The 11,378-nt window shown below is 36.9% G+C and overlaps 1 long non-coding RNA gene across 1 annotated transcript in view, besides 1 other annotated feature; it reads left to right on the forward strand.

Annotated features, from left to right (window-relative positions):
• The window catches only part of LOC102724008 (uncharacterized), a 29,333-nt gene extending 21,910 nt beyond the window's left edge, over nucleotides 1-7,423 (forward strand). The window contains exon 3 of the long non-coding RNA XR_001739457.2: nucleotides 7,282-7,423. This is a non-coding gene — a long non-coding RNA (uncharacterized LOC102724008). The remainder of the gene's footprint in view (nucleotides 1-7,281) is intronic.
• Nucleotides 8,080-8,764: an enhancer, noted in NCBI's record as "NANOG hESC enhancer chr2:48510631-48511315 (GRCh37/hg19 assembly coordinates)". NCBI's record gives its function as "activates a minimal SCP1, AML or CMV promoter by ChIP-STARR-seq in primed H9 embryonic stem cells {active_cell/tissue: H9 hESC(primed)}" and the evidence as "EXISTENCE:reporter gene assay evidence [ECO:0000049][PMID:30033119]".

Consider the following 11,378-nt stretch of genomic DNA (forward strand, 5'->3'; position numbering starts at 1 on the left):
CAAGTGATCCACCTGTCTCGGCCTCCCAAAGAGCTGAGATTACAGGCATAAGTCACTGCATCCAGCCAGACCCTGGTAAGTCTTGATAGGTTCCCCACTATCTAGTATGACAAGATAGTTGAGGCTCATCTTGTATATTGACTGCCAGTTATGAGTGTAATTATATTCTCCAAAATTCATATATTAAAATTCGAACCCCAAGTACCTCAAAATATGACTTCACTGAGAGAGAGAATCTTTACAGATGTAATCAAATTGAAGTGAGGTCATTAGAGTGGGCTCTAATCTAGTATGACTGGTATCCTTATGAATAGGGGAAATTGGGTCACAGAAATACATATAGAGGAAAGACAATGTGAAGAAACAGGGAGAAGAGAGCCTGGAGCTGTGAGACAATAAATTTCTGTTGTTTAAGACACTCAGTTTGTGGTACTTTGTTACAACAGCCCTAGCAAACTAATACATTTCCCAAGATTTGAAATTAGCCATTTCTCCAAGAAGCCCTGGTTTCTTTAAATGAGAATGCTATTCAAAAATCACAATCTGGCTTTCATGGGTGCTGATCACTACAGGATTGAACACTGTTTTTAGGCCTCTTCTGTGGACAGAGATATCAAGGTTGAAAAAGAAAATATCCTTAAACAAAACTGTTTTTAAAACAACACATACAGAAAAGCACACATTTTAAATAAAAAATACCTCTGAGTTAATAGTAACATTTCCAATTCAGATTCAGGACCACAGTTTTTTTGTTTGTTTGTTTTTTAATCCTCCTGTATTCACACAAGAAAGCCTGGTTCTCACCAGGCATGGTGGCTCATGCCTGTAATCCCAGCACTTTGGGACGCCAGGGTGGGTGGATCACTTGAGGTCAGGAGTTTGAGGCCAGCCTGGCCAACATGGTGAAATCCTGTCTCTACTAAAAGTACAAAAAATTAGCCAGGTGTGATGGCAGGCACCTGTAATCCCAGCTACTCAGGAGGCTGAGGCAGGAGAATCGCTTGAACCCGGGAGGCGGAGGTTGCAGTGAGCCAAGATCACACCACTGCACTCTACCCTGGGTGACAGAGCAAGACCCCCTCTAAAAAAAACAAACAAAAAAAAAACAAAAAAAACCTAGTTCTCAAGGGCAGAGAATATCTGATAATTGCTGTTTACTTTATCCTGTATTACACATATCACAGGCTCAGAAAAATATACATTTACTGAGAACAGCTAAAATCGTTTCCATATATTCTTTCCCCCTTCTCCCCTCAGTTTTAATAGATGTACTGTATTGACGTTGTCAGATAGCCATTACGTACTATGCTTTCCCTATTACCACTTGTTTAGTCTTAGTCCTACAAGTAACTATTTGCTAATGCTCATGAGCATTCCTTATGTCAATGTCTCTAATCATTTTGGTGTCTAAAGTTCATTTTCTAGCAGATTCCTCAGGGAAAGAAAGTGAAAGCAATATTCCCTGAGTTTTTGCATGTTGATAAATGTTTGTCTTTTATATTTGAAGGTCAGCTTTGATGGATATAAAATCCTTGGCTCACGTTTTCTTTGAGTGTCTCAAATATGGTACTCCCTTTTTATCTGGCATGAAGTATTATTTACAAATTTGCTAATCTGTGTTTGCCTCATAAAATCACATGGGTTTGAGGGTTTTTCTGTTTTTGTTTTTGCCTAAATGTCTAAAGATTTTTTTCCCATTTTTTTTAAGTCCATGAATTTTACTAAATTATGTCTTGGTGTTGGTTATTCTGAATGACTATTCTCAGACTATGGTGTGCTCTTTCAACATGTAACTTAAAATATTTTTTCTTGTTATATCAGGAAAGTTCTTGAATTACGGTTTTGAGTATCTGTTCAGTTCTCTCAGTTTGATTTCTCATATGGGAGACTTCCTATTATCTATATGTTGGATCTTCTTTGTCTTCAATTTTTTTCACATTCTATTGAATTGTTTCTCTTTTAACTTTTTTTATTTTTAAAATCCTTATTCCTTTCACTCTCTTTTCTCTTATGGCATTATCTGTAGTTTATTCTCTTGTATTTTTTCTAGTTAAGACTTTATTTCTTAAGTGATTTTTGTTTCTAATTCTCTGGGTTCTATCATCTCATTTCTGAGTTTTAAAAATCTGATTAATAGATTTTCCCATGTCTTACATTACTTTCTTAATGCTTTTTAGCTTATTTTGAAACTGAAAGTTACACTCTTGATGTGTTCTGTGGACACATGTCTCCAGTGTGCTTTTGTTGACTGAACTCATGTCATTCTGCTTTTTATTTTTGCATAGTAACTGATTTGTTGCTCATTTTATGTGAAAAAGGTTTTTCTGAACTTTTAGGAGACATGGTTGATGGCAGTTTTACTAACTTCGGAAAGTTCCTTGTTTTGTCTTCATAAAGTAATTTTTAAAAGTAACTATTTGCCTCCTGAGATTTTCTAGCTGTGGGTCTTCTTACCTTTGTCTCTGTTGTCTTTATCCTGATCCACTTTGATTCCAGTTTCAGAAGTCTGGGTCATGCTCCATTTTGGAAGGAAGCCCTGTTTGGTCAGTTTTATAAGTTCATTGTGGCCCAACTGTTCTAGCTCATTCCACCCTTAATATGGGCCTCTTGTATTCATCTGCTTTTGGAGTGGGAGAAAATGCCTCCAAATTTCAGCTACTATTCTCAAATAGGTCTGTTGCACTTTGCACTCACAAAATATCTGTTGGCTATTTTTCCTATTCTGTTCTTGGGTTTGTCAGGGGCTCTATTGCTTTCCTCTGCTTTCTCCCACACAAATGGCAGATCTTGCAGATATTAATGATTTGTTCTAATCTGCTTGTATAGTAGTCCCTTTTTATCCACAGAGGGTATGTTCCAAAACCCGCAGTGGGTGGCTGAAGCTGCAAATAGTTCCAAACCTTATATATACTATGTTTTTATGTTCCCATACATACATACCTATGATAAAGTTTAATTTGTAAATTAGGCACAGTAAGAGATTAACAACAATAAAATAGAGCCATTATAAAAATATACTATAATAAAAGTTATGTGAATGTGGTCTCTCTCTCTCTTAAAATATCTTATTGTACTGTGCCATGGGAAATCACAGAAAGCAAAACTGTGGGTAAGCGGGGGACTGCTGGTATTTGGGGTTTTCCAGGGATGCTTTATCACCTGATTTTATTGTAAATGTTTTTGGTTTTGCTATCTAGTGGATCTGTTTGTTGTTATGTTAGGATTTTGAGAGATTAAAAAACTGTCATTGCTGTTGTAGTCCCAGAATCTTCTCAATCCTAATACATTTTTTGGATATATATTTAAAGAACAACAGAATTCTCCCACACACCGCCCAAAACAACATGACCTCCCGACACAGCAGGTTGCATCACAGATCTTGGAGCTGGAAAAAGCCTCAAGAGATCATCCGGTTCAGCTCCCTGTGGTTAGGCAGGAAAAGCACCATCCTAAATTCAGAATAGGTAACAGAAGCACTCAGAAATTAAATAAGAAGTAGAACCTAATATTGTTTAATGGTTTTAAATTTTGGTGTTTTTTTATAGTGTTCATACAATTGAAAATCTAAATGTATAAATATATTCCACAGAATGTTACTCAAATTAAAATAAACACACAATTCCACAGTATAAACATCAAGTTTATGGTACATTTGGGTATGGATGAGTGTTAAAATTTCTGTATTTATTATAGCCATGTATTGGAAATATTAATTTAAAATATATACTTTTCAAAATAAATCTGAAAATCAGCTAAATGCAACATCCAGTTCAACCAGTTTGTGAACAGCTTTGTGAGTGAGCCAGAATATTTTAAGGCAAATTCTTGTGAATTATCTAGGGAATGAAATCTGATGATGGTAAAATACTGAACTCACAAATGATAGCTTTTTTTTTAAAGATGGTCCTCCATAATAATGAAAATAAATAACTGTAATACAAGATGAAAATAACCTAAAAGTAAACAGAACATGTCATTAATAGAGTCCTTCATTATCTAGCGTAGCCTGTAATGGAGGAAACAGCAAGTGTAATTCTCTTATCTTACCATAGGCAGTAAGCACACACTGTAAAATCCATCTCTTCATTTTCTGGTTGAAAAGATCATTGTAGAAAAGGCCTGCCAGGGAGTAGAGGTCATGCTGATTTATTGGCAATTAAACCTGCAGGATTTCTGCACTCCCTTCAAAACAAAGTATCTGAGTCTATTCAGCCAGGATGATTACATAGTGGGCTATCTACTAAAACCCAGGAGTCTTTCCCTTAGTGCACAACAGATACAATTGACTTGGCTGTATTTAGAAAATTACTGCTATTTTCTGTGCAGACTCTTGTTGTATCTTCCTAAAATCGCCTCAGCCCAAAGAATTACCTTGTTAGTCAATTTAATAAAGCAGAATCTTACCAAGTGATATATGATTCAGCTTGGAGGCATAAGAACTTCGGTAAAAATACTAACAGGGACTCACTTGAAGCAAATGAATGTATTGCTGAATCTATGTAATCTGTCTGTGGTGACTCAGACCTAGCTTTCTGAATGTTGACTAGTTTGAGATGATGTTTTAGAGTTTGATACTCAAAATTAATTAGCTTTTATCCATTTCATGTCTAGACACAAACCAAGTTACTTAGGTTAGCTGTTTAAACCACAGACACTACTTACATATGGACATTTTACGCAGACGCATTTTACGTATAGATATTTACATATAGACAAGCAGGCTCAGGTGCTAGGAATGATGGAATCTCAGCAATACAGGTAAGGTAGGAAAGAGGAAGAAGGTAGAAATAGGATGGGTGAGAATGGAAAAAGTGACCAAATCAGCATTTCTGCCTCTGCCCAACCCCATCTACCAGAATGAATATGTTTATACCTGAGTTAGTTCTCCTTAGAAAGAAGAAGATTGCTACTGTACATTGTACCATACAGGACCACCTGCGTCAGGCGCTAGCCTGCCACCACCATTCCTAGCTTCCTCTTCCTTCCTGCCAGCCTGTGTGGCTATGGTCTCATTTATTCATCCATCCATTTATTCAGTAAATATTTTTTGAGATTTTAATATGTGTCAATTACTGTTCTAGGCCCTTGAAATATACCATGCCTCTGTAATGCATTGTTTTTTTCTTTACTTTTTTACTTATAAAATTCTTTTTTCTTTTTTTTTTCTGAGATGGAGTCTCACTCTGTCACCTAGGCTGGAGTGCAGTGGCACAATCACAGCTCACTGCAACCTCCACCTCCCGAGTTCAAGCGATTCTCCTGCCTCAGCCTCCCAAGTAGCTGGGACTACAGGTGCCCGCCCCCATGCCTGGCTAATTTTTATATTTTTAGTAGAGATGGGGTTTTATCATATTGGCCAGGCTGGTCTCGAACTCCTGACCTTGTGATCCACCTGCCTCAGCCTCCCAAAGTGCTGGAATTACAGGCATGAGCCACCGCGCCCGGCCTTTTACTTATAAAATATTAAATAAAAATGATACATTTATTTTAGAAAATAAAAATGAATATAAGGATGATATTTTAATCCACATATAATCCCAACAAATACTGTTAAACATTTCACTGTATATCTTTCTGATCTTTTTACCTCTTCTGATGTTTTTAAGTTGAAATATCCAGGCATACAAAATATTAAAGATCAATAAAACAAACACTCATGTGTCCATTACACAGTTTAAAAATAAAATATTACACTTTTGAAGATCCCCTTCCCAGTTGTATTCAACTGCCTCACTGTCAGGAGCTACCACTATGGTAAAATGTTTTTTTCTATTTTTGACCATATATGTTATGTAGCATATTTTTATTATATACTTGTGATATATAGGACTGTTTTGCATATTTTTAAAACTTTATGTAAATATTATTCTGAATATATTCTCCTGTAATTTGCTTTTTATCTCTCATCATTTTTGAGATTTATTAACATCAATGTATATAGCTCTACTTTATTGATTTTAACTGTTGCATCACAGATATTCCAGGGATGAATACACCATGATTCATTTATTCTTTCTCCTATGGATTGGCATGTAAGTTGTTGCCAATATCTTTCTGTTAAAAACATGGCAATGACTGTTCTATTCCTGTCTCCCTGAGCACATGAGGGAGACTGTCTCTAGGGTATATAGCTAGGAATAAAATTGTTGAGAAAAAGGGTGCAAATTACACGGATATTACCAAATGGCCCTTTGAAGTGGTTGCATTAACTTACACTACTACAAGTAATATTCACATAATGTACTCTTTATGTATAAATAAATATATACATGCCCACATTCACACATATGTCATATGTATATGATGTGAATAAGGTATATGTATCAGAGCTCAGAAGATCCAAGGCCAGATGGTCCTATCAGCATTTCTTTTCTTTTCTTCTTTGTCCTGTTTCATGTCCTCTCACCTTCCTGTCCTTCAAGATCCACCTCCAGTCCCTCAGGAGGCCTTGTTTGTCACCAGGTTCCATACATCTCTCCTTTCCCTGACTTCCCGAGGCTGCCGCTCACATGCACTCACCATCCAGGGGGTGTATTTAGTGTTTTAGGACTTATGCTCCAGCTCTACATCATAAAATCAGCTCTTCAAAGGCAGGAACCATCCTGAGGATCTACTGGCCTCTCCCAGAATCCAGTGCCACATTCATGATGAACCCACCATGTTCTTGATGGGGTTAGTGAATTGTTGATGGAGTGAAGGCAGTTTCATTTTCCTCCCATAGAGAGGTCAGGCCATATTCTTGGAGCAACTTCTTAGGAACAGCTGTCCTCTCCTATATTGGTAATACTTGGAACCACCTAAGATGTTCATCTTCATACCCTTTGTCCCAACAATTTCATTGCTGTTATATACCCTAGAGAAAACCCCTCAGGTGTGTTCCTGCCTTTCTCTCACACTCTCCTCTTGGTGAATTCCCAAGGCAGCAACATGTACTTAGGCTAATCTTCCTGAAGCTACTACAAGTGATAAGACTGTTCTTTCAAAACCACAGGCACAAATACAGACTCAGAGTTCACCTTTGTTCAACTTAGAAGAACTCTATTACTGACAGCCTTCAGTCTGTTCAGTTACCCAAGTATATTCTATTCTTAGTTCTGGGTCCCTGAGAAGTCTGGATTCTCCTGTTTCTATTTCTAGCTATCTTCTAGTCTTCTGCAATATCCTGAGCAATATACCCTTTCTGGCATGTCTAATCCCAAACCTTGTTGCGTTTCCCTCAATAGGATATCAAATATTCAGACGTATTTTCTTATCAGATTTTTCTTTCTTTTGTTTTGACAGCAACATGGTGTAGTGAAAAGAAAGCAGGCTTTGGAATGGATAGAACTATACTTGAATCTCTGCTCTATCACCTTATCATGTTATGTCAAGCAAGTTACGGAACCTCCATCATTTGTCAGGTAGGGAAATCTGTCTTATGGTTGCTGAGAGAATTAAATGAGATAACATAGGTTAAGTGTGTTTATCATAGTGTCCTGCATATAGTAGATGCTTGATAATGATTCACGTCATTCATTTCATTTTCCTCCCTCCCTCTGAATTATCAACAGGTATTTCTTCTTGAATAGAGATGGAATAGGAAGTCATCTTCCTACTTGAATAGAGATGGAGTAGGAAGTCATCTAAGTGACTGGAAAGGACTCCATTACAGCCCACCCAAAATAATCTCTACTCCTATTTGCATCACAGAAATTCTACCAGTACCAATTACCAGTTAATTATTTTGTACTCATAATTGACGAGTATTTAAGTACCTTCATTACCTTAGGCAAGTTTATTAGGCACTTTGTCCCAGGACAGAGAAAACCAATGTGAACCTGTTGCCAAGAAATTTAGTGGGGCACTAAAAGGGACACTCATCTGACCAGTTGGGCTGAGAGACCTATTTAGTATTTGGTATCTCCTAAATATAAATGTTTCTGTTGGATAATTATATATCTATGCTTATACTGGCACACATATAGAAACCAATGGTGTCATTACACCAGAGATATCTGCCTCTCTGTGAATGTGTTTTTTATCACGGCTTTCTATAAATATTTTTAGACTATTTCAAAATAACATATTACGTAAAATATTTAATTACATTTTTATAATAAAAACCTCTATTATCAGTAAGATTGTATCAATAAGATCCAGTATTAATTTCCTTCCTCTGTATATCCACAGCAAGGTAAATGCTTTGAATGGTAAAGCAGCTAGAAAAAGAGTTAGTTCTTTCTGAACTACTTAACCGAGAAAGCTATTGGAAGGCCCCAGACACACTTAATTATCAAAGTAGAGCTATCCTAGATCACCGCAGGACTTGGGGAACTTGAGACTAAGAAAAAAGAAATCACTCATTAGGAAGTGTGAGAAATGTCTTAGGGTTGATTTTGTTTAAATGCCAATGTGAACTGATCATTAGCATTTGCGAGAGCTGTGCAAATAACACCACCTAAGGGTCTAAACCAATGCGGAATTGTTACAGAGCAATTAATTCACTTCCAAGCCTTTTGTATTACCTCCACCTTATTTCCCTAGTGTAGATAGACAATTTGTTTTTTTAAAAAAAAAAAAATCAACCAAAAACTGTGATATTCTGCCAACAAGATTACAGGGGTGAAAGAACAACCCCCTAGTCAAATGCAAATTGTAGTCATATTAGCATGTTAATGAGCTAAGTGATAAACTGTGGGTCAAATTTCCCCTTCTCAGCTTAAATAGCACTCCAGAAGGGCTTATTTTAAAATGTTTGGGAAACCTAGGGACGGCAGCAATTAAGGATTATTATGTGAACATGATTTGTTCAGCAATATGAAAAATTAATAGATGGGACTTAACTAAAATGAGACATAATTCTTCCTAATGATTTACAAGTTATCAAGAAACATACCTTAAAGAAGATATATTTAACTGTTCTAAATTTGGAGTGAAGTCTTTTCAAAATTTCTTATATTGAGGTTTTTAAAATTTAAATCTGTTTTATCTAGTCGAAGGAAATTTAAGGAAGAGCCAAAAAGGAAAATAGAAGACAATGACATGTTTAGGGATATCAATTTCTCTTTCTTGACCACTTATCAAAGAAGTCTTTCTTGATTAAATCTACTCCCATTACCCGATCTCACCCTTACAAAGCAGGTTTGTGCTTTCATAGAATTTTTCATATTCACTAGCTTTTACATGCTCATGTTCATTTTATAAGCAGGTTTCATTGTATTTTACAGTGCCTAACTCAGCTTCTCGCCTGCTGGTCAGGCTCTGGAAAGCTGAGTGAAAACAGAAGGCAGCCAGAAGGTGCTGTGGGGACAACTTGCAATAGTGTCACATGGCCCTCCTCCCTCTTTCTATGTGCCCATGTCCACCTCTATCCTTGTTGCCACTTCCAGAAGCTTTGTAACCATGGGCAAGTTACTGAATCTCCCTGGACTTCAACTTTGACATTTGTAAAGTAGAGATGATAAAGCTTTAGGTCCAAGGCAGTGGTCTCAGCCTTGGCTGCGTAATGGAATCATCTGAAGAACTTTAAAAAATACTGATGACTATGTTGGATACAGTGAATTCTGATTTCTCTTCAAAGAATCAGTATGTCAGTATGTTCAGTTCTTTATCCTCCATTTTAAAGTTTAACTTCCTCGTAGTTTCAGTAAACAAGCTTTTCCACCAGTTTTAATCAGTATTTCACATCTGTTCCCCTGGTCACCTGCTCTGTCCTGACTCATCCCAGTCACCTGCTTTGACCTGAGTCACCCCTGGTCACCAGCTCTGACCTAAGTCACCTTTAGTTACCTGTTCCTAACCGTCCTTCCTGCAAAACTACCCACCCTGCCACTCTGGCTGATACCCCTGCTCTCTTTAAAATAGCCAATCAGAATTAGCTTAGACTGTGTGGTCCAACCCTCGCCAAGAGGGGAAGGACACAGCAGTAGGGGGCTACCTGCATCAGGAATAAGAACCCCTTCCCCTCCCTTGTTCAGGTATGCTCTTGCCATTACTCCATTCGTGACTCGCACCCTTCTATAGAAGTAAAAATTGCATTGCTGAGAAAATTAAATTTATGTTTGAGTGCTATTTCTTTGCGGCTCCAAGGAACAAGCATTTTGTTTCTAACAATCGAGGAACAGGCATTTTGTTTCTAACAACTGGGTGCATCCCAGAGCTTCTAAATTCATCAGCGTGGTTGTTGCCAGGGAATGGGAAGCTTTAAAGCTCCCCAGGAGATTGTAATGTCCAGCTGAGGTTGAGAACCGATATTCTAAGGAGTGTTATGATAATTAAATGAAACAGAGGGGAAAAAAGCAGCCTATAAGTAGTAGGAGGTAAAAAATAATTTGTTTCTTTCTTTCTCCAGTTAGTTTTACTATTTATGTTGATAGCTGTATTTGATCCTAGCTAGAAGCTGAGGGACAGAGAAAGAATTTTGTTCAAAGATTTTTTTTTAACTTTCTATTTTGAAATAATTTTAAACTTATAAAAAAGTTGCAAGAACAGTGTAAAGAATTCCCATATACCCTTCACCCAGGTTTATCAATTGTTAACAATCTACTACATTTGCTGTATCACTCCTCCATTCTCTGTATGCACTTTTTTTTTTCTGAACTAGTTGAGAGATAGTTATAGAAAATATGTCCCTTTACCCCTAAATAGCATATATTTACTAAAAACAAAGAAATATAACCACAGAGACAATTATTTGGAAAATTTAATATTGATACAATGTTAATATCTAATCTATTGTCCATATGTAATTATTTCTAGTTTTCCTAATAATGTCTTACGGCATCCTCCCATTACCCTTCTCTATCCTCACCCCCTTCAGGATTCAATCCAGGTTCATACATAGTAGTTGGTTGTCATGCCTCTTTAGTTTCTTTTAATATGGAATAATTCTCCTTTTCACAACACTGACTTTTTTTTTTTTTAATTACAGGCTAATTGTTTTGTATCCCATGCCATCTTTTTTGGTAAGCATATAATTAAATGCTTTTTATTAAACTTACAGGTGTGCAATCATCACTAAAACCCAGCCTTGAACATGTTTATCCCCCTCAAATGTTCCATTTTCCCCCATTCCCACCCCCAGCCCTAAGCCACCACTGATTTGCTTTCCATCTCTGTAGTTTTGCCTTTTTCAGAATGTCATATAAATGGAATCATACAATATATGGTCTTTATGTCTGGCTTCTTTTACTTAGCCTAGTGTGTTCGAGGTTCACCTACTTGTAGCATATCTCTGCAGGTTGTTCCTTTTTTATTGCCGAATAATATTCTAGTATATGGATATGCCACACTTGTGGGCAGCTTCTAAGATAGTCCCCAATGATTCCTACTTCCTAGTATTCATGCCCTTGTGTAATTCCCTCCCATTGAGTATGGGCTGGACCTAGTGCCTTACTCGT

Source organism: Homo sapiens, chromosome 2 (genome assembly GCF_000001405.40).
Source record: "Homo sapiens chromosome 2, GRCh38.p14 Primary Assembly".
NCBI classification, from domain to species: domain Eukaryota; kingdom Metazoa; phylum Chordata; class Mammalia; order Primates; family Hominidae; genus Homo; species Homo sapiens.